The sequence below is a fragment of the Homo sapiens genome, chromosome X (genome assembly GCF_000001405.40).
Source record: "Homo sapiens chromosome X, GRCh38.p14 Primary Assembly".
NCBI classification, from domain to species: domain Eukaryota; kingdom Metazoa; phylum Chordata; class Mammalia; order Primates; family Hominidae; genus Homo; species Homo sapiens.
In genome coordinates, this window is record NC_000023.11 from 31,722,018 (window position 1) to 31,747,464 (window position 25,447).

The window sequence follows — 25,447 nt, forward strand, 5'->3', positions numbered from 1 at the left end:
GTTTTGCTAAAGGATGTGTGACAGATATTATGTCATTTATGATGTTTGTGCACCAAAATTTATTTGATACAAAAAGTAAGTTGTATTTCTTTTTTATTATTTATTTATTTATTTATTTACGATGGAGTTTCACTCTTGTTGCCCAGGTTAGAGTGCAATGGCGTGATCTCGGCTCAGTGCAACCTCCGCCTCCCGGGTTCAAGCAATTCTCCTGCCTCAGCCTCCCGAGTAGCTGGGATTACAGGTGCCCGCCACCATGCCTGGCTAATTTTTTTGTATTTTTAGTAGAGATGGGGCTTCACCATGTTAGCCAGGCTGGTTTCGAACTCCTGACCTCAGGTGATCCATCGCTTCAGCCTCCCAAAGTGCTGGAATTACAGGAGTGAGCCACTGTGCCCAGCCTGTATTTCAATTCTTATTAAAATTTCTCATAAGATTGTCTTTCACTATCTCTTTATACTTCCATAAGAATTTGTAGAGTAACTTAGACATATACAAAATAAAAAGCTAAAGGGTTCATTAGACCTACAAGGCAAACAGTAATGGCTAATTTCCCTGGTATACTGAGGGCTGCATCAGAAACCTGGTCTACCTAAACACAACAATCTTTAATCCTCAGCTAAAGAGTTTCTATACTTTATTCATGGTATCATTAAGAACCAGGATGAAACTTATGTTACTTGAATGGTTGTACAGCAGCAGAAAAAGGAAACCATACAGTGTAGCATCTATAAATTCATTATTTAGGCTGGGCGCGGTGGCTCAGGTCTGTAATCCCAGCACTTTGGGAGGCCGAGGCGGGTGGATCACCTGAAGTCAAGAGTTTGAGACCAGCCTGGCCAACATGACGAAACCCCGTCCCTACTAAAAATACAAAAAAATTAGCTGGGCATGATGGTGGGAGCCTGTAATGCCAGCTACTCGGTAGGCTGAGGCAAGAGAATAGCTTGAATCTGGGAGGCGGAGTTGCAGTGAGCAAAGATGGCACCACTGCACTCCAGCCTGGGCAATGGAGCAGGACTCTGTCTCAAAAAAAAAATTATTATTCAGTGTGTGTCTAAATGCTTCTATATTGTAAGTTGGCAGGGTTGGGGGTTGTGTGGGGGGTGGGTGGTGCTACCTCTTCTCAAATTCCTTAAATGTAAACCAACTTCTAGGCTTTTTCCTAGGTTCACTTTTCTTTGCACCAGGTACCCTCTCTCTGTGCAAGCTCAGACATTCCAGGTAACTTTTGAATTCTTGTCCAAAAGTAACATCACTCCTGCAATCTCTATGTTTTCAACCATTTCTTTAAAATCTCAGTATGGTCATCTAGCTTCATGTTAAGCACATTACTTTGTCTCCCATAATCAACTCCTTATCCTGAGTTTGTCTCTGGTTATGACATTAATCTTCCAAAGAATTCAATCTCCAACTCTTAGAGGCAGGCCTTCTCTTAGATTGACAGTTTTATATATGCAATCAATGTCAAAATCCTGTTAATTCTAGCTCCACCTTATGTCTCAATTTCACTTCTTTCTTTTTACTCCATGGTCACTGCTCCAGCTTGGGCTCTCTTGCCTTCTAACTGGTCTTACTGACTTCATTTACTCCCTTATCCTCCACAACACACACACACACACACACACACACACACACACACACACACACACTCCCATGCTGATATTCGTCTTCCACCCCACTGTTAACAGGTCTAATTATGTATTCTCCTGTCATCAATTCCTGAAATACCCTTCCCTCTCCAGCTTCCTTCTGCTTTTCAAAGTCTTATTCATGACCAGGTCAAATTCAGCCTCCTCCTGGAAGCATTCCACTAAGCCCTCATTTAAAACTCCTCCTCTAGTTTTCTCTCAACATTTTGTAATACTGCTCTACTGAAGCACCTATCCTAAACTGCCTTGCCTAAATATACTTGTCCAAATACCCACATTTGATTGTGAGCTCTTTAAAGACAAAGGCTGAATCTTACTTTTTTCCTGTATCCCCTCTACCATCTCTGATATTAGATAGCACAGAGTAGGCATTCAAACGTTCGCTGAACTGAACTGAACTCTTTGGTTGCCAGCGGCATCCTAGTGGATGTGAATTTTGAGAGCTGCTTGTAGCTATAACAGGTTGACAGCAGGTGCTAGATGTCAAAAGAAGGAAATTTATATGGTTGACTCCACTTCTTCTAAAATAAGCAACCATCTAATAGACAATACCTGAGAGGAAGATACTGGCTGGCATTTCATTAGCAACAGAGATTTCATACAAATGTGGAGAACAACAGAGCCTTTTTATTTCGCCATGAAGGATTTCATAGATTTGGTTGCAGCAATGAATGATGGGTTGACAAAGCTGCTATAAAACTGTCAGTTAATTCAAAAATCGTGTGAGAGATGTTTTTTTTTATTCTCATACAGAAGAACATTCTCCCCTTCTATGGCCCTGTATACCAGTTCTTTATGCAATATAATGTGAATTCCTTTTCTTAAAATTTATAAGCTATCACTAAATTTCTCTAAGAATTCTGGACTGGGTTGAAAAATCCTTAGCTGAAAAAATAATTCCAAAATAAACGACTCCCTCTTAAAACTTGGAATTCTGTTTCAGAAGTCCTTCCCTTGGTTTAGCTAATAAAAGGCCACATTATACACCCTTCATATTCTCCCATCTCCAGTTCTCTCTGTACCAAATCCATCTCACCATAACAATATGTACCATTTAATGAGCATCTAATATGTGCCACATATTTACTTTAGAAACACCAATTATTTTACTTTCTTAATCACCCTACCAGCATAAGTACTATTATTAGCCCCACATGACAGATGAGAGAACCACAGTTTAGGAAAGAGAATTAACTTGGCTAAGGTTACACAGCTAATAGATCATTGGGGTCCACTAGTCTGTACATCTCCAACACATGTAAAAGACAATCCTTTGATTAGACACTCAAATACACAGAAGTCAAAAGTATAAACAGGAGCAGCAAAAATGTATATCCAGACTATAATTACCTGAGGTTAGTCCTAATATTTTAAGTTGTCAGATAAATATACCTTCCTATTTTTCTGACTAACCAGCCTTTTCCATTTGATGTGCCTCGGGCTTTAAAATCATATAGACGTGGGCTTGAATTCTACTTCCTCACTTGTCATCTTCCTAAGACCCTAGACAAGTTACGTTAGCTCTCCGAGTCTCGGTTTTCTGTCTCTAAAATGGGAGTAGTAATTTTATCTACCTATTAAATTTATAGATAATAAAAATTTTGCAGTATTTCCCACAAAAGGCTTTCCTGAATATTTGTTTAATTCTATTTATAGATCTTATTCCATCTTTTCCAAGCAACCTTCTCCTGTCGGTCTTTTAAATCTCTCCTTTTGGGGTGGTGGTGGGGGGCGAAATAACTAAACAGCTACCAAAAAGCTCATTAAGTATTTTGCATTAAGCCTTCAAAGCACCCCAATAGATTATAATTAAAATAACAAATGCTAACATTCATTCAGCTTTTACTATGGCCCTGATCTAAGGGCTCTACATTAATTATTTCATCTAATCCTCCCAACCCATGAGATAGTTATAAGTGAGCCTATTTTACAGAGAAGGAAACTAAGAGCAGATAGTTTACTGAGATTAGTCATTTGCTCAAGGCCACAAAGCTAACAAGTGGCCAGTCTAGGCAGCCTGCCTTTTAAAGTAATGCATGCTATTGCTGTATAGCCCCGAAATGGTAGTGGTGGGGGTTACGGAGGGAGAAGCTACAGAAACAAGGCTCTTAAATCCAAATGTTACAGGAACGACATTCACCAATATTGTTTGTGAAATAAACAGAATGATAAAAGGAAGCAGTTTTATCTTTCCAAATCCTCTTCACTGCTATGCAAGGTATTATGGTATTATGCCTTGCAGTATTAACAGACACGAACAAGAGTTTCATGTAATTCAGACGCCTCCAAGGAAGAAAATTTAAATTCTTCTAATCTTATCTGCTTTTGGTCCCCTGACCCAGCCCTTTTGCAGAAGAAAATGGCCAGGAATGATTGACAAATTCAGACACCAAAGAGTTAAAGAAAAATGAGCAATTCGAATATTAGAAAGAGGGAGAATTTTTCATTTGATCTGATTTAGACAAAATTTACTCTCTTACCTAGATTATTACTGCATGATTTCCATCAATATAATTACCTGAATACAACAGATACCACGGTAATAGTTTCATATAGTAAAACATGGTGGTGGCTTGCACACCCAATTACTTGAAGTTTAACATGAATATTTCTAGTAGACATAAATAGCTTTGTACTGAACTTTTCTCTTGATAGACTGCAATAACTATGTATAGATTTTCCCAACTGTTCAAAGTTATGAAATGGGATTTACCAGAGAAAGAAAAATGTTTCAATATAGTATTACATACATATATTAACTATTTTTTCTTTATTTAGCTGATTTCTTTTTGAGCATTTCTAGAAGTTTCATGGCAATAAAAAGGAAGACCAAAATCATCAAATGAGAAAATACAATTTTATGAGCAAGTATTTTATTTCTGTCCTTTTCCTGAAAACCAAATCTTTACTAAGAAAAATTCTATTTTGAACACGATCGAAAAGTTTATGAGTATTGAATTTCCATCCCATTTTATAGATTTCAAAGGGAGAGATAAACTGAAGTGTAGCAGGGCTGCAAATGACATTGTTTAGATAAACATATCTTGTCAGAATTATCCTGGTACCATTTAGAGGCTCCAGGCATATTTGGAACTAAGATTCCAGCTTAGACTCTTAATAAGCGCTATGACACATCTCGACAGACACTTGCTTTTAAGAAAATGCTTTCTTGGACCATTTGGATTACAGCCTTTCCACTAGGCTGCAAATATTCATAAAGGTATTCATTCCTAAAAGACAAAAGCTTAGAAAAGAAGAACTATTCAAATCACTGAATATTGGCAGAGAGATACAAACTTGCCCTCCGGTCATTCAATTTTAATCTCTATCATGAAAAAGTCAATGCAATATGAAAAAAAAATGCAGGGGATAATGGAAAATGTTCAGACAATGTTGAACAAATACTGTATAATACATTCATATTGTCTTCCTCTTAGGGAAAAAATTGAAGTGATTTTTCATTAGTAAAATAACAAATGACTCTCTGTATAGTATGTTCAGATTTGCATAAACCTCACTGCCAAATTTCCATATTTCTCAGGCAAGAAACTGATCACTTACCTGTGTAATGGGAATTCAGTCTCATATTGAGTAAATCACTCACTAAGATTCACTCTTTTGGGTCAGTGTGTTGCAACTTGTTGGAGAACCCTCAAGGTTCCAGTATGGTGGAGGAATGCTCTGCTAAATCAATTGTATGGCTATCTTACCAAATCTGTTCCTCTTCCTAGGCTCAACAGTGTACACTATTTCCCTAATTCCCTCGCAGTTAGGTGTGACCATGTGACAAGATCCATCCAACAGAATATGAACAAAATTAACACACACCATTTCCAGGCGTGGCTCATGACAAATTTTCATGAGTAATACTCATTCTTCATCTGCCCATTAAATGCATATGAGTCTTATGCTCTGGACACAAAAGATGGAAGGAGCTTGGGTTCCTGAATGACTTCATAGAGGGCTGCTTATTTTGGACTGCACTAAAATAAGAAGTAAATTTCTGCTGTAGTAAGCCTCCAAGATTTGGGAGATTACCTGTTATAGTGGCTAGTGTTACTGAAATAATACATTAGCATACATCCACATTCATTGTTTAAGCAACAATAAAGAGTTAAACTTTCAAAACCAAGAACAGCCTATTTTAATTAGCAATCACTACAACTGAAAGAAGACATGTCTTTAGGAAGTGAATCAAAACATACATAATTTCAGACAAAAGAAGTATTTAGTCTTAGTACAATGATTAAGGTCATTAACAAAAGCAACAAAACAAGATGGGAAATGGTAAACATACTAGAAAGAGCGCAGATTTTCAAGTCAGAAAGAGACATTTACAAATTCCAAGCTCTGTTCTTTGCTTGTTTGTAAACGACGCAGTCTCGCTCTGTCGCCCAGGCTGGAGTGCAGTGGCGCAATCTCGGCTCACTGCAAGCTCCGCCTCCCGGGTTCACGCCATTCTCCTGCCTCAGCCTCCCAAGTAGCTGGGACTACAGGCGCCCGCCACCACGCCCGGCTAATTTTTTTTTGTATTTTTAGTAGAGACGGGGTTTCACCGTGTTAGCCAGGATGGTCTCGATCTCCTGACCTCGTGATCCGCCCGCCTCGGCCTCCCCAAGTGCTGGGATTACAGGCGTGAGCCACCGCGCCCGGCCGAGTAACTGTTCTTGGAACCTGTTTTCTCGTCTATAAAATGGGGATTATAAAATATAGCTCACAAGATTCTGTAAAGATTTTGTACACACACACAGAAACACACAGAAACACACACATGTGCACACACCATCTAATGCTTATGAGGTACTGAATAAATACTAGCTATTATCAATAAGTACTTACCCAATATGTGGAAGTATGACTAATAATATTTTAAAATATTAACCTTTTACTCTGGTTACTCTTTCACTTTCCCCAACATATTGACAACTAGTCATTTCCTTAGGGAAGGGTTAACATAGCAGAATATAAATTATGAAGATATAGACTCTCATGGTTTCCGAGTTTGAAAAGTCTAAGCCTGGTAAAAGACAAAAGATTTCAAAGAGAAAAAAAAAGATGGCTGAAAGGTTTTCCTCCTTCCTGCACTACAAAGGATTCTTCGGGTTGTGGGAAGGAAAATGAGGGGATATTGCAGAGGAAGCAAGAAAATTCAATACCAGTGTGTGTCCCTGGAGGGAAGGAAGGTAGAGAGAAGTGAAGAAACCGAGAGAGATCTGAGAGAACCTGAAAGCAGAGCTGACTTGGACCTCATTTCTGAGGAGAATCTCTGAGGGAAACCGGGTGGCGAGTTTCCCCTACTCCTTCGTCTGTCACTCTTCCTGACCCCATGGAAACTCACTGACACAACACACAATCACTGCGAATCACTCTCCCCATTAAATGGATAGGAGTGTATGTCAGAAGAAAAGAATATGCACAGCGTCTAGTCAGATGGGTCTTACCAAAGTTCCTGCCCACCCTACTACGGCATAAGGTACAGTACGATGATTTTTGATATTACAAAATGGGGGCATCAAAGTAGCGGAGAGATATCCAGATCTGAAAGTCACTGCACATGGGAATGAAAGATGGCCCAGGAAGAAGCCACTGCCTGCTTGGACCAACAGCCAAGGATATGAGGGAGAGACTGGCATCTCCATGGATGCCAGCCCAGATGACAACTAAAGAACAAATGTTCTGCCACAAATGTTCTGCCACACTGTGGTCACCACACCCATCAATGCATGCTTTGCAACTATATAAGCCCTGAATTGATTTAAAAATGTATTTCTTCTATTCAATGGAATTACATTCATTTATTAAAAGGTAACATTATGGACTGAAAATCTCAGCACAATTGTTATCATTTACAATTATTTCACATTATTTTTATAAATGTGAGGGGGATATATGAACTTAAGTTTTTATTGAAACTTGTCATGCATCTTGCTTTGTGTGTCCCATGCTTGTTAAAAAACTTACTTCGATCCGTAATGATTGTTCTAGCCTCTTGATTGCTGGTCTTGTTTTTCAAATTTTGGGCAGCGGTAATGAGTTCTTCCAACTGGGGACGCCTCTGTTCCAAATCCTGCATTGTTGCCTGTAAGAACAAATATCCCTTAGTATCAGGGTTCTTCAGCGTTGTGTATTCCTTTTACATAATACAAAGTAAAGTACAATTGTGAGACCAGCCAAAACACTTTTAGAAATAAAAAAGATGTTACTGTATAAGGGTTTATAGAAAACAATTTAACAGGAAATATGTTTCATTCTTAGATATCAAAAATATTTCAAATGAAAATCTTGACTATAGATTTTCTTCATTTAAAGGCTCAAATGGAGACATTCCGGAGTACCTCGGATTACTTAAACCACTGTCTGAATGCCTTGAGTAAGAAATGTTATTCTGAATTACGACAATGTATTTAAAAGATAGATAACTATTTATACTTATAATATCATTCTGTGTGACGTCAAAATTAAGGTATATTTATTTTAAAAACAGAAAAAGCACAGAACCGATTTAAGAGATATTACTTATTTAACTTCATTGTACCCCTGAGATTTCTCACCTGTCAAATGAAAAGGTGAAGTAGACGAGCTAAATCAGCTTTTCTCCTAAGCTGCCTGTCCGTAAGAATCACCAAACCTTTTTGCCTCCCTCCAGAACTAATGAATATGTAGTGGAAAGGGCTGCAAATCTTGCATTTTAAATAAATTATCTAATTAACTTTTATGATTTAGGCAAGTTTGGAGAGCATCAGATTACAGGTTAGTATTCCTATTCCCCTGTATTATAAATGACTTTAATATAGCACTATTTTAAATAAAAATACAAATATAATAAAGTTAACAATTTTTAATTTATAGGTAGTAATGTAAATCATTAAGATATTCTTCCCTTTCTTCAGTGTCTATTTTCTCTGTCATCTTAGTCTCTCTAGATTTAAGGACCACAATCTCAGAGGTATTTATGAAGAAATTTATGAAAAAAAGGCATCTGACTAGCTCTGGTTCTAAAACTCAGTAAATTTTATTTTAATTGGGGAAAATACAAGTAATATTTACTGTTAGTTTATAAGCAATATGTGACAGATGTTTTATCTATATTTTCTCATTTTTTTCTTATAATAACCACACTAGTAAACAAGCCAGCAAGTTTGTATAATTTTAAATATGATGTTCTACCACATGAGGCCAATGAAGATGAAGAGATGAAAGTGGTAGATAGTAATGTATCTGAAACTTATATGAAACTTAGTTATTTACTCTGTACTTTGACTCCTGCTGATTTTCTAACGAATTTTGGTTTTGGAAAGGCCAAATTTTGATCATTCTGTAGTGTTTCTTCTGTGAAGAGGTAGGGAGACAGGCTTTGTGATTTAAACTCAATTGCTTTTGGTAATAGTAAAATAATGCAAAAAACTTTTCCAAACATTGTACATCTACTTTAGGCACTTTCTCCTCTCTGTATTGAAAAATTGGAGGGGCTAACTTTTAACAAATTTTCCACATTTGTAAGCTGTGATTGCTCAGAAAAAAAATCCAATTTTCAGGTTTCTAACTTTTATGGTTTCTTTACACAACAGAGTGTTTGAAATATGGAACAAATTGCCAAAGACAGCTATTGAAGTAAGTGGCATAAGTCAGCTGGAGAGTACTGAACAAATTTTAAAGTAGGAACCATATAGTAGCAGGTAGATTTTATGAAATAAGATGTTTTCCAGTGTTAGAATGTGAAACTCTGGTCATCTGTGACATGGGAAGCTGAAAGGTTGCTTTGGAATTGCCTACCCTAAAATGTTTGAATATGTTCAATAGAATTTTTAAAACGGACTTACCCAGAAACCTCAGATGAAGTCAAATTTTCACCTCAAAGTTAACAGAGAACTTTAAATACACAGGGCTGGCAAAATACATAAATTCATTTACTCATCCATTCATTTTAATAAATATTTTTCAGCACTAGGCACTATTCTAGGGACTATGCATGTGGCAGTGGACAAATATATTCGGTATAGTGTGTAACTCACATGAAAAATCGTGCTTTTCGATACTTGGAAATTTTTATATAACAAAGATTATCTTTATTGGGTTGTTCTTCTTTTAATTCACTCTCACATAACCAGATTTTTTTTGCTTCTCAGTTTTAGATACATTATTCACTGTTTGCTATACTTTTTTCCTTCTTTTAAGATTTCAAAGTTCATTTAAGAAGTATGTTGTAAAAGTAAGTTGATCAACTTTAATCTGAACCTTACCAGGCTCTAAATTAAACCTGACCACAATGAACAGCTTTTATTGCTGAAATTAGCAAGCATGTCAACTTAGACTCAAAACAAGCCATTTTCCTCTCTAATGAACAAAATAGGTCTCAGGGTATTGTGAAACCTGTTCTCTAGTTGGGTGATTCTCTAATTCTGCTGACAGACACATGCTTTGTAAGCACCTGAGAAGATTATTAATGAGATCCTTTGAAGCAGCCTCCTTAAAAATCTAAGGAGGTTCACAACTGCAGTACAACTATGCATTTCTAAAATATTTCAAAACAAAATTTCAACTTTTTATCCCACTCTATGGTCAACACATACAAACATTCATTTCAACAAAGAAGCTGTAAAATGATAATGTATATTGCTATGGGATTTATCATACACTAATAGGCTCTTTACTTAGTGGTCTTTTAGTATAGCAGAATGGGAATTTTCTCCTTTGATTCCCTTTCTAGAAATAAAGAGAGGGATTTAATATGGCATACGCTTCAGTATTTTTTCATTAAGATATTATAAAAACAGTGGTTAAAAGAATTTCTTGCTAATAAGAACACAAGCATATGGTGAGAGTAACGATTATTTTTCATTTGGTTTCCTTTTAAGGGTATTCTATTTATTTGCTACTATACTTTCTTTGACTTCAACTTAGTTTTATAATTCCAGAACTTCTCAAATAAACTGACCTTCACCTCTATTCCTTCGAGCCACCCACAGATGAGAAAACACCTTAGATCTAATCATTACTCAAACTACTTGCCTCCAAAATATCCATCTATAAAATTCTGTTCTCTGCCCCCAATCTGCTACCCCTACCAGATGTTACTCTCCCAAACATGCTGTTCCTAGTATTATCTTCATCCTCATATGACCTCTGGTCCTTTTCTGTTTCCTCAACCTAGCTTTAGTCATAACAAACAAGTAGAATGCTAATTGTGCTTATTTATTTCTCTGATATGATCCCAGATATTTGTGACACAAATAACTTAAAGCGAACAAAACTAAAATCATTACATGCTTACCAGTACCTAAGCATGATAATGGATCGTGTCTACATGGATTCTATCATTCTAGAGGAAACAAAACACAGGAGAAGGAAGGAATCAATGCTATTTCTAAGGAGTCATAAGTCAGCTACTGGGCTTTACTAAAAACTGCTTACCCCTTGGAGATGAGAATTCATCATGGATTCCACTAGCTGAGCAAAGATGGAGGAAAAAAAATTCTTCAAATACAAAGTGAATCAGAAGTCTTTAATCTCACTAAGTCCCCCCAGAGTTGAGTGAAGTGGTTATAAATAGCAACCCTATGAAATAGGAAGTTAAACAGTGAAATCATACATATTATAACTAGGGCATTTTAGGCTTTTAGACAAAATTACAATTTTTTATTGTATTCATTAAAATAGAATTCCACCTAAATAATACTCAAATAAAAACTCTATATGTTGAGTTGAATGCTTAGTATTTACATGTCTAAGAAAAGACTTTGAAAATCAAACTGGTCATATTTTTATATTTTTCTATAAAAATCAACAATCTACATAGCATAAATGCCCATGATGATTTTTCAAATGTTCCCATTTTCAGTAAATGAATATGAATTAAGCTGAAATGTAACAATGTAGAACTGATGCTATTTTATTTACAACTTCAAAAAATTAATATAAAGAATTCAGAAGGTAAAAGAGTTTACGGAACCATTTTATGTATTGAAGAAAATAAGCATAGAAGTCAGGAAGGTACTAAATTGTAGCCTTTCTAGTTACCGAAAGGGTTTTACTGGTGAGGATGCTGTAATCTATCTAGCTTTCAACCATCTCACTGAGCATCTTCTTCTGGCTTCTATTCTTGCATTCGGCTGCCTCTCCAAATAGAGTGGCCAAATCGAAAACCATCCTCATTGTCTTCCACTTACTTCCTCACTTCTCATTTCCATTTTATACTGGCTTGGATATTGATATTTTCCTACTTGGTCAACCTTCCCTACTTCTTTTTTGAATGTTCTACTAGCACCTCCATCGGTAACTTCTTAAGAATCTTCATAACCAACTTCATAAATATCTTCCAACTGCAGTTAGCCTTTTTTGTTCTTTATTCACTGAATAAATACTTTATAAGATGCATTTTATTTTTATATAATTTCAAGCTTGCAGAATATTTGCAAGATAAAGAACTCCCAGGTAACCCTTGCCCGGATTCACCATTTGTTAACATTTTGCCACATTATTTTTAATTATTTATCATTTTATCATTCTCTCTGTGTGTATAGATATATAACTGTATATGTAATGTTTTATATATATATATTTTTTTTCTGAATCATTTGAGAATAATTTGCAGATATCATGCCCCTTTACCCTTAAATACTTTAGGTTTTATTTCTTAATAGCAAAGACATTCTCTTAAATAACCTCAGCTCAGTTTCAAAGTCAGGAAATTTAGCGTGGCTTTAGTACCATAATCTTATCCATACTCTATATTCAGAGTATGACAATTACCCCATTAATGAACTTTATAGCTATATTTTTATTTCCTGGTCTGGTCCAGACTCACGCATTGCTTTTAGTTGTCGTATCTCCTTAGTCTTTTTTAAGTTGAAATAGTTATTTGCCTTTCTTTGAACTTTATAACACTTACAGTTTTGACCAACAGAGGCCAGGTATTTTGTAGAATATCCCCCAAATTTGAGTTATAGCAATTTTTTAAGTGCTTCTGTTGTGTCACTCATTGAGCTAGGTGCAGGGGCTGTAGCAGTGAAGGAGAAAATAATTCCTGTTCTCAAAGAGAAAACAAACGAGTAGTGATGACAGGCAATAAAAAAGCAATTGCAACAACCTGAGGTATTATGGTAGGGGAAACATGGAGAGTTATCAGAGCATATGGCAAAGATATCACATGAAATATAAAGGCCAAAGACTGTCTTCTGAAGGAATCAAGCTTAAGTAGTCCTCAGCTTTTCTTTATTTAAATTATACAAAACAGTTTTAAACACCACTGCTCCTCATACCCAAGTGGCCACCATGAGAATATGCAGGCCTTCTATTATTGGGTCTTAACTGACTGAGGACTCCTGTTACTGCATTTTGAAATCCATGATTGCACTGCACCAAAGCCAAGCTTCTCACAGACTTCTCCTCACCCAATGATTGGGTGTGGTGGGAATACTAAGGCAGAGAGCCTTCCTTGGGAGACATGGGACTTCTTTGCCTGGCTCTGCCTCAATGACTTCCCAACAGCTTTGCCAAAATTTCCTTCCACTAGACCGCACACTGGGATGCTTCTGCCTAGCCTTCTCTCCCTCTCTCTTCCTTGCAGAGTCAGAATTGCATCTTGATCTAACATCTCTTGCACCTTCCTTGGCTTCCTCCTTCTTTTCTTTCACATAGATATTTCCACTAATAAAATATTGTCCCATTTTATCCTGTCTGGGTACATATAACCTCAGGCCCTGACTAATACACTCACTTTTGTCCTCCTAGACCCTAAACCTCTCATCAGCTCTTCAGTTCCATGTAACGTGATGGTTCCATGACACTACTACCTGAATGTGTAACTGTCAATTATTGAATATTAATTAGTAACATAGGTTTCTTCATGCCTCCCATGGGCTGGCCTCTTAAGATGCAATTCAAGTAAATATGTATTTTTACATACTACCTCTATTTAGAAATCACTAAGGTAGGGTGCATGACCATTATTTCCAAGGAGCGCAGAATTTAACTGGAGGAAAATAAGAGTATTCAGATGTGTTACATGGTAATGGTGGAGTTCCATTCAACACATGCAGCTCAAGAACTGTAGGAAACTAAAGCAAGCCACCAGGAATCCTTAACAGATAACAACCACTAGGTTTGCTGCAAGAGATGGCAAAAGGAACTTTGGGGCAAGTTTTCAGATGACGGAAGACAGAAAGTTAAGATTATTCCACCTCTCTGAGTGAGAAGTGCCCTAGGTAGACAAAGACCTCAACCAGGACCAGCTTCTTGAACGTATAACTTGTGCAGTTAGTTACACAAGGATCTGCATTAGAAGGGATTCATACTTGGTTTCATGCTCTACTGTTGCCATCTTGAAATTCTTAATTTTTTTTTAACCAAGGGCCCTGCGTTTTCATTTTTCACTGGGCTCTACAGATTACGTACCTGATTGTGACCTCAACCCTAAGGTTAGTGGAGAATAAAAGTTATGTATCTTGGCTGAAGCACTGGTTAATCGTTGATGGGAAGAACACATTTAAACACAAATTAAATGACGTCAATCAAATGCCTCTTGCTTAATTCCTGAGAATGCGTTTCAAATTTCTGGAAGGAGCAGTTATGAAGCTAAAAAATGTATTTTGGGGGAAATCTGGCCTCAGGAAAAGCTGAACAGGACAGTTAGAAGTGGTTCCAAGGTGGGACTGTCATCACTATCAATGGTTATTGGAGAACAAAAGTCACTATAGGAAAAATGAAGTAGGGAAACGACAAAGAAAGTGGTGAATCATCTGAGGAAGAAATTGGAGATAAAAAGGAGAACCTGTGGCTTCAGCAACAATGATGGCTGCTGAAATCTCAAATGACATTTCTAGGTTTAGCTAAGTGTTAGCTGTTTCCAAGGCTAGGATAGACTTGGGAAATACATAAGAAACAACTAATAATTTGTTTTAGAAACATTTACTAAACTGCAACTATTTGCCAAGCACTCAGCTAGTACACATAGACAAATAAAACTTGTCTTCTTTTTTCAAGGAACTTATAATCTAGCAAACAAATACTCATAAACAATTATTTTTTGTGTAATAATACAATGGGAAGTAATGCTAACGACAACAACAATAGTTGTTTATTGAGTGCATACCATATGCCAAAAGAGTCTATCACAGCATACTAGTTAAAAGAATGAACTCTGGAGTCAGGCTTTCCCAATTTGCATACTGGCTGCCACCTATTCGGTTTACTATTTTCAGTATGTTACTTAAATGCTGTCTGTATCATTTCCAGCACTGTGAAATGGAGATACTGAGTCTCTACCTCTCAGATTCATTATGAGAATTAATAGAGTTAATATTTGTAAGGTGTTTAGAACATTTCCCATTTCATAGTAAGAACAATAAAAGTTTTAAATAAAAACTATCAGTCAATGTAATTATCATATTACTCTGTGAGGTGGGTACTAATATTGCCCCTATTTTACTAGTAAAGAAAATGAATGAAAAAGAAGTTAAACAATTTGTCTAGGATCACATGGTAATAAGTGGCAGAACTTCTAACATAGGTAAGTTGGCCCCAAAGCCCACACACTTAAGAACTATAATATAGCATGATATACTTACAAGGTACTCATGTCATAGTATAATATAAGGTAGCTATATGATAGTATGATATAATATAGGAATGGATAAAGGGACAGGGATATGAAACGAGAATACAAAAGGGGAAATTAACTATTTCATTCAAGGACAGATTATATTCTGAATCAGTCATGGTTCTTGCAATAAATAGTTCATTCAAAGTGGGATGAGGAGGCTTTCCTCCTCAAGGCCTGAAAGGCTAAGGGGAGGGTATAGTTAGTAGAATCTGAGAAGTGGCTGCAGGGACAAGACCTCTTGACAGGAGCTGGGGCTGTGAGTAAAGGAACCTAGCCATCCCTCGACTCACTCTCCTCTCATCCATTGATCTGCTGATGCCTCCCAACACAAGGACCAAGCCAATAGACAAGCAAGCCCAATGCTACTGCCATATTGGTCAACCTCCTAGGGTAGAACAACAGGTTAGAGATTGGATCTGCGAAAGTATCCAGCAACAGTATAAAAAAAATAATAATAATGGCAACAACTATTGAAACAAATCAGTGAAGGAAATGACCACATATGGGAATTCTCAGCAAAGACTTCATATCAAGTATGGCACTACAGCTGAACTTTGGCAGATTTGGCTAGAGAATGAGAAGAGCATTATAAGGGAAAGACAGACATGAACAAAGGCATGAACGTAAAATAAAGCCTCAAATGGGCTGGTTAGAGCCTGGAATTCTTTACAAATAATGGCAAATAAGTTTAGGTAGACATAGTAGAAGCAGTATATAGTTGGCTTTTTAAAAATCAGTTTGAGGTTTTGAATTTTATCACAAGGACAACTGGGAAGCAGCGAACTTGCAGAAAAAAACTGAGGCTATAGGAGCAAAGCTTTCAGTAATCCTGTGCCTCCATAGATTTTGTTCTTTCTGGTTGGGATAAATTTCTCAATTCTTGGTCCATTCCTAGAAATACAGTTAACAGATACCCATACGTAAAAAGTGTTGATTGACCAAATCACTGACTACAATGAAGGGAAACAGTGGTACAAGAAACAAGTAATTAGAGACTTGTGGCAGATCAAGAATACATACAAATGGCAAACAAGCATATGAAAAGGTGCTCAACATCACTGAATCATTGATAACCAGAGAAATGAAAATCAAAATTACAATGACATATTACCTCACTCCCGTTAAAATGGCTTATATCCAAAAGACAGGCAATAACCAATGTTGACAAGTATGTGAAGAAAAAGGAACCCTTGTATACTGTTGGTGGAAATGTAAATTAGCACAACCACTATGGAGAACCGTTTGGAGGTTCCTCAAAAAACTAAAAATAGAGCTACCATATAATATAGCATTCCCGCTGCTGGGTATATACCCAAAAGAAAATAAATCAGTATATTGAAGAGATATCTGCACTCCCATGTTTATTGCAGCGCTATTCACAATAGCCAAGATTTGGAAGCAACCTAAGTGTCCATCAGTAGATGAATGGACAAAGAACATGTGGTACCTATGCACAATGGAATACTACTCAGCCACAAAAAAGAATGAGATTCTGTCATCTGCAACAACATTGTTGGAAATGGAGGTCAGTATGCTAGGTGAAATAAATCAGACACAGAAAGACAAACATTGCATGTTCTCACTTATTTGTGGGATTTAAAATTCAAAACAATTGAACTCATGGACATAGAGAGTAGAAGGATGGTTACCTGAGGATGGGAAGGGTCGTGGGGAGGTGGGGGTGGTGTAGGTATAGTTACTGGGTACAAAAAATTAGTTAGAAAGAATGAGTAAGACCTACTATTTGATAGCACAACAGGGGGACTATAACCAATAATGATTTAATTGTACATTTTACATTAATTAAAAGAGTATAATTGGATTGTTTGGAACATAAAGAATAAATGCTTGAGGGGTTGAATACCCCATTTTACATGATGTGCTTACTACACATTGCATGCCTGTATCAAAACATCTCAAGTACCAAATAAATATATACACCTGCTAGGTACTCACAAAACTTAAAAATATAAAAATAAAACAAAAAGAAACAAGTAATTAGAATCAGAAATGTGTGGAAATTGCTAGAACACATGTTCCTTTTCTAAGCAGTATTTATCAGTATTATAAAAATCACTGATCATTTGGCTAGCTTTAAAAATAAAAAATATGATAGCTGTTTAAGAAATCATTATTAGCTATTCAAACTTAAAAAACAATAAGACAGTCAGTGAAATTTATTTCTCTATTTCTTTGTAGTAATGTTTCAATTTGTTGATATTTTGGGGAGTTAAAAAAACTCTTAAGCCTAGCACTGCATGTTCTCACTCGTAAGTGGGAATTGAACAATGAGAACACATGGACACAGGGAGGGGAACATCACACACCGGGGCCTGTCAAGGGGTGAGGGGCAAGGGGACAGAGAGCATTAGGACAAATACCTAATGCATTGGGGGCTTAAAACCTGGATGTTGGGTTGATGAGTATAGCAAACCACCATGATACATGTATACCTAGGTAACAAACCTGCACGTTCTGCACATGTATCCCAGAACTTAAAGTAAAATTAAAAAACTAAAAAATAAATAAATAAATATAAAATAAATAAAATAAAAAAAGAGCATAGTAATCTCAAAAAAAAAAAAAAAACCTCTTAAGCCTACCAAATTTGGTGACTTCTTTGAAATGGTAATAATATTAATCTACTATTAGTGTGTTATTTTTAAAATAAATTATCTCCCTGTGTTGAAAAAAAGATTAAGATGGTCCTTTCCAAGCTATTATACCACACGGAACTTAAAGGATTGATTTACTTGTCATTTACTAAAACCCTTAACATCCAAAAATGAAAATGCCTTTCACTTTCACAAGCCAGTAAGTAAATAATGTGGTGTAAATTGCGGATCTTGAAATACAATTTCAAAGTCAAGAAAAAAAAAGAATTTTATGCTACAATTTGTTGATAATGATTTGCAAACGCATTTCTAAAGTGATATAAAGGGCGTTGATAATTTTAGCTATTCAACGTTAGATCTTTTAGTTATTCTACATTGTTCACATTTCTTGAAACTCTATTGTTCTATAAATTTGGCATATTAACAAAGGATAATCAAGACAGGTTTAAGACCAGTTTTTATCATGTGCATCAGATTCGCAGGCTTTTGATATTATGGCCCAGTAACATAAGTGATATAATTTTTTCTCCTACACACATTTTAGAAGAAAGAGAGACATGAAACAATATATAGGACTGCCTTGGAATATTGTGTGTTTGGTTCCAGACTGCTGCAATAAAGTAAATATCACAATAAAATGAGGCACACGAATATTTTTGGTTCCCCAGTGCATTAAATGTTATGTTTACACTCTACTATCATCTGTCAAGTGTGCAATAGCATTGTATCTAAAAAATGTACATACCTTAATTTGAAAATACATTACTCCTAAAAAAAATGGTAACAATCATCTGAGCCTGCAGGGAGTCATAATCTTTTTGCTGGTACAGGCTCTTGCCTCAGTGAGGATGGCTGCTGATTGATCAGGGTGGCGGTTGCTGAAGGTCGGGATGGCTGTAGCAATTTCTTAAAATAAGACAACAACGAAGTTTGCTGCATCGATTGGCTCTCCTTTATAGCCAATGATTTCTTTGTAGCATGTGATGCTGTTTGATAGCATTTTACTCAGTAGAACTTCTTTCAAAATTTGAGTCAATCTTCTCAAACCCTGATGCTAATTTATCAACTAAGTTTATGGAATATTCTAAATCCTTTGTTGTCATTTCAACAATGTTCACAGCATCATCACCAAGAGTAGAGTGCATCTCATGAAACCACAATCTTTGCTCATCCATAAGCAGCAACTCTGGATCCGCTGAAGTTTTACCTTGAGATTACAGCTATTCAGTCACACCTTCTGACTCCACTTCTCATTCTGGTTCTCATGCTATTTCTACCACATCTGCAGTGACTTCTTCTACTGAAGTCTTGGACCCTCAAAGTCATTGATGAGTGTTGGAATTAACTACTTCCAAACTCCTGATAATGTTGATATTTTGACCTCCTCCCCTCAATCATGAATTTTCTTCATGGCATCTGGAATGGTGAGGACTTTCCGTTTTCAGTTTACTTTATCCAGATCCATCAGTGGACTCACCACAATATAGCAGCTATACCTTTATGAAATGTATGATTTAAGTAATAAGACTTGAAAGTTGAAGTGACTTCTTGATCCAAGGACTGCAGAATGGATGTTGTGTTAGCAGGTATGAAAATAAAATCATTCTCTTTGGACATATTCCTCAGGGCTCTTGGGTGACCAGGGACATTGTCAAAGAGCAGTAATATTTTGAAAGACACATTTTTTTGAGAAGTAGGTCTCAACAGAGGGCTCAAAATGTTCATCAAACCATGCTGTAAAGAGATGTGCAGTCATCTAGTCTTTGTTGTTTGATTTACAGAGCATAGGCAGACTAGATCTAGCATAACCTGAAGGGCCCTAGGATTTTTGGAATGGTAAACGAGCACTGGCTTCAACTGAAAGTCACCAGTTGCATTAGCCCCTCACAAGACAGTCAGCCTGTCCTTTGAACTTTTGAAGCCAGGCATTGACTTCTCTCTAGCTATGAAAGTCCTAGATGGCATCCTTTTCCAATAGAAGGCTGTTTCGTCTATATTGAAAATGTGTTGTTTAGTATTGCCACCTTTATTAACTTAGATGTTAGTTTGATCTTCTGGATAGTTTGCTGCAGCTTCTCCATCAGCACTTGTTGCTCTGCCTTGCACTTTTATGTTATAGAGAGGGCTTATTCATTAAGGCTCATGAACATACTTCTGCTAGCTTCCAACTTTTCTGCTGCAGCTTCCTCACCTCTCTCGGCATTCACAGAATTGCAGAGAATTAGTCCTTTGCTTTAGATTAGCCTTTTGCTTAAGATAATGGTGTGGCTGTTTTGATCCTCTATCCAGACCACTAAGACATTCTCCATATTAAAAATAAGGCCGTTCCACTTTCTTATTCCTGTGTTCAACAGAGTAGCACTTTTAATTTTCTTCAAGAACGTTTCCTTTGCATTCACAACTTGGCCAACTGGCACAAGAGGTCTGGCTTTCAGCCTGTCTTGGCTTTTGACATGCCTTCCTCACCAATCTTAATCATTTCTGACTTTTGATTTAAAGTGACAAACATGTGACTCTTTTTTTTCCCATGAACACTTAGAGGACATTGTAGGGTTACTGACTGGCATAATTTCAATATTGTTGTGTCTCAGGGAATAGGGAGGCCCAAGGAGAGGAAGAGAGATGAGGGAATGGCTGATCAGTGGAGTAGCCAGAACACACAAAACATTGATTGATTAAGTTTGCCATCTTATGAAAATAAGTAATGGGAAAAGGACTCTGTATTTAAGACATGATGCTGGGATGGCTGGTTAGCCATATGCAGAAGAATGCAACTGGACCCCCTCCTTACACCATATACAAAAATTAACTCAAGATGGAATAAAGGTTTAAACATTAGATCTCAAATTATAAGAATCCTATAAGAAAGCCTAGGAAACACCACTCTGGACATCAGACTTGGGAAAGAATTTATAACTAAGTCCTCAAAAGCAATTATAACAAAACCAAAAATTGACAAGTGGAACTTAATTAAACTAAAGAGCTCTTCACAGTGAAAGAATTTATCAACAGAGTAAACAGACAGTCTACAGAATAAGAGAATATATTTGCAAACTATGCATCTGACAAAGGTCTAATATTCAGAATCTATAGGGAACTTAAACAATTCAACAAGTCAAAAACAAATAACCCCATCAAAAAAAATGGGCAAAAGACATAAACAGACACTACTCAAAAGAAGACATACAAGTGGCCAACAAACATGAAAAAATGCTCCACATCACTCAACATCAGAGAAATGCAAATCAAAACCACAACGAGATACCGTCTCACACCATTCATACTGGCTATTATTAAAAAGTCAAAAAAATGACAGATGCTGCTGACGCTGTAGAGAAGAGGGAACTCTGATACACTGTTGCTGGGAATGCAAATTAGTTCAGCCACAGTGAAACAGTTTGAAGATTTCTCAAAGGACTTAAAACACAACTATCGTTCAACCTAGTGATCCCATTACTGGGCATATAGCCCAAATAAAACAAATTGCTTTACTAAAAAACCACATGTATTCTCATCCTCATTTCAGCACTATTCACAATAGCAAAGGTATGAAGTCAGCCTAGGTGCCCATCAGTGGCAGACTGGAGAAAGAAAATACGGTGCATATACACCATGGAATACTATGCAGCCATAAAAAAGAACAAAATCATGTCCTTTGCAGCAACATGGATGCAGCTGGAGGCCATTATTCTAAGTGAATTAATGCAGAAACACAATACCAAATACCACGTGTTCTCATGTGGAGCTAAACAGTGCGTTGTCATGGACATAATGATGGCAACAATAGAAACGGAGGACTACTAGAGTGGGGAGGGAGGGAAACAAGGGTTGAAAAACTAACTATCGGTTACTATGCTCAGTACCTGGGTGACAGTATCATTTGTACTCCAAACCTCGGCATCATGTAATATATCAAGGTAATAAACCTACACATGTACTCCCTGAATCTAAAATCAAAGTTGAAAAAATGTTTGTCTTTTTTTTTTTTTCCACACAGGGTCTTGCTCTGTCATTCTGGCTGGAGGGCACTGGAGTGAACATGGCTTACTGCCGCCTTGACCTCCTGGGCTCAAGTGATCCTCCTGTGTCAGCCTCCCATGCAGCTGGCAGGGCTCCTTACAGCCATGTGCCACCATGCCCAGTTAATTTTTCTACATATATATTTTAAAGACAGGGTCTCACTTTGTTTCCCAGACTGGTCTCAAACTTCTGGGCTAACACGATCCTCCTGCCTTGGCCTCCCAAAGTGTTAGGATTACAGGTGTGAGCCACTGCACCCCACAAAGTTTGCCATCTCATATGAGTGCAGTTCATGACATCTCAAAACAATTACAATAGTAACATCAAAGGTCACTGATCACAGATCATAACAAATATAATAATAATAATAATGTTTGAAATATTGAGCAAATTACCAAAACGTGACACAGAGACGTAAAGCGAGCACATGCTGTTGGAAAAATTGTGCCCGACGGACTTGCTCAATGCAGCCTTGCCACAAACTTTCAATTTACAAAAAGTGAAATATCTGCAAAGTGCAATAAAGTGAAACCCAATAAAACGAGATACGCATGTACATATTTGGGGATTATTACTCCTCAATTTTTTCAGTATTAATTTCTTGTTCTACCTTGAATAACATCATTTTGGAATCCTTCGAACTTCCACTTATCAAGACGAATTCTCTTGTCCCTATTCAGAGGAATCTATACAGCAAATTGAATCATAAGTGTACTAAAATACCAAAGCAGAAGATAAATTACAAGACATGAATAGTGAAATGTAACTATTTGAGGGCATTATTTGTAATAGTTTGCCTGGTACATACTCCTCCTAATTTTGCATCCTAAAGATACTATCCAAAGACTGTAGAAATTCCAGATACAAGAGGCTAGAGTTGACAGGTAATTAAGCTTTGGTCAATCAAAGAGCTAGAAAATATTTATTGAAATAATTGTATGCATAACACATCACAGTAGGGAATGTGCCTCATGGATGACATGAAAGAGACTCTCTAGTGAAATAATTGAACTTGTGATGAACTTTCAATGCAGTTGGGGAGGTGACCTTCAGGCCAGCCCATGCATGCTCGCACACGCAGTTACCCAATAATAGAAGACAATATGTAAATGACAAACGTAATAGTCTACAGACCACATATCCTACCCTAATGGGATTCTGAGAGATGGGATTTTATATGGGACCAGGTTCAGGGAAGGTGCCATAGAGGAACAGCAACATGAACTGTAACTTAGAGGATGAACTCAATTAATAATGACCTAATGGGAGAAGGAATTTCAGGACAAGGAGTAGCTTTAAAACTAAAGTGTAGAAGTCAGAATACAGCAGAGTGGTTGAGAAAGAGTGGGAAGGGCAGCTGTGTAATTAGTTAGCAGAATTACGATGGCTGTGATCAAGTTGAGAAGGGAAGCTGGGGCCAGAATGTGAGGGCTCAGAACACTAGATGCCCAAATAAGGACATCATGTTGAAGGCCATGGGAAATCATCAGAGGTTTGAGAGCAGAAGAATGCCACAATAAAAGTGGCATGTTAGAAATATTAACCTCGTACAACTGCATCCAATGTCCCTTCCAAGAAAGAAATGGAAAATTAAATTGCAGTAACCCAAGAAAAGCCTCTTGTATCTCCTCTTTGATTAAATGTCCTGTCATGAAAACATGTAAAACATTTCTAATTTACCTTCATGCATCTTTTTAAGAAGAATATAATAACTCCACTGCACACAAGGAACATAAATTCAACCCCATTGCTTGTAAAAACTGTCCCAAAGAATTATTAAACAAATTTGCTGATTCTACTTGTAATATTATATTTTACTATATAGGGGTAAAAAGGGATTGTAGTTTCAGTTTAGAAAAAAGGTAAACATTCAGAATGTTTTGTTAAATTCTTACATTCCTACTCTAAAGGATAAACAGAGACTTTCAGAGTGTGAGAAGAAATTGAGATCTCTCTGGAAATACAACTTCAAGGATTATTATCAGTGATAAGAAGTATTAACATATGTTATGATGTCACATTTTGTGAATATAACTTTTCAATGCCCTTAATACGTATTGCTGCACTAGACCTGATATTTTTCTTTGGGAAATAAGTCTTCAGGTAGTACTCCTATTTCTAGGAAAGGAGTACTGGGGTATTGTGCTCATCTGTTCAAAAATAAAAGTCAAAGCTAACAAAACATTTGTTAAAAATGCATTCAACCTTTTCACGTTTTAAAAACATTTTGAAGATATTATTCATTTAAGTACTGAAACAAAACCATGCTTTTTATTTCTAACGGCAGCCATCAATAAACTGAGGCAAAGCAAGAGATGTTACCATTCGCTGATACTACCTGTAGATGGGAAGTGAAGTGAAGAAATGAGTGATTATCTAGAGGCGATTACACTCATGAACACAGTTAATCAGAATAATTCAAGCCCCCTAACCCTCTTCTGCTGTCTTCACATGGTAGATGTGAAATTTGAATTATCAAAATAATTGGCACAGCTGTTCAATTCATGTTTCCCATATAGGGATAGAATCAGGCTCAGTTTATTCAGCTATAAAGTGGAGATAATTACATTCATATAAACCACTCTTGTGTGATTAAAGCAATGAATCTATTTATAAGAATTCAAATACCTTAGGTAGAAATTAGTCAAATATGGCTAGTCCAGGTTTCTTTACAGTAACAGCAATTAAGACATATGTTATATAGAATATATTTAATCCATGAGGTTTCAGCCTTCTGATTTTGCCAAATTCTGAGTGCTACAAAGTGAAGATACATATGGATGGTGAACAACCATGTGTTCACCTTAAACAATGCTATATTAATGGCTTGGAAATCCTTGTGAGTTTTACAAATAAGTGTGAAACAGGAGTGCATGTGTGTATGTGTGCATGTGTCTGTGAGCACTCACACAGACAACATCCGAATGGAGAAGAGAGGTATGAATAAATATATATCCTAAATTTGCATCAAAATGGTGTAATGGTTACCTTTGGACGTACATATAAGGGGAAAAAGTGCTTAACAACTAGGTCTCATTCTTCAAAATAAACAACATCCTTTGTACATTTTCTCAGCAGTTGTCTGGGAGATCAACATTAATCTATTTCTTCTCAGAACTTATATGACTGGGAAAAAGATAAAAATCTGCCCTTGATTGGGTGCTATGTGTTTAAGCTCTGGTTTAGCTGTAAATCATTTGTGAAGATCATTTCTTGGTAGGTGAGTGGAATTGCTATTATAGAGTGTTAATATACTTGCAGTGAAGTGTTGCTGGGGGTAGGAGGTGTTAGACATTGATCAGGAGCTTAAGAGATGAGCTATTTATTTTTGCTGTTGTAAGAGCAAATTTCTATAATAAAACAATGATTCTGCTTCTCTGTCAAAAAACACCATTTTATGACATGAAAGCTCTCTTCAGTAAACAAAGAACAGACTGTTATTGGAGAACGTAAAAATTACAATAGAATATATTTCCCTATAGGAGCACAGTGGCCTTTAACTCAGCTGGAACTTACAGTATGACAGCTTTTAAAGGAAGGGACATATTCTATGGGGAGGA

General features: G+C 36.7%; 1 protein-coding gene across 20 annotated transcripts in view; it reads right to left on the reverse strand.

Annotated features, from left to right (window-relative positions):
* Window positions 1-25,447, reverse strand: part of DMD (dystrophin) — a 2,220,167-nt gene that overhangs the window by 602,796 nt on the left and 1,591,924 nt on the right. For all 20 annotated transcript variants that reach the window (XM_006724469.4, NM_000109.4, XM_011545467.2 and 17 more), the window contains 1 exon segment: window positions 7,614-7,731. In XM_006724469.4, coding sequence (XP_006724532.1) covers window positions 7,614-7,731 — 118 coding nt within the window.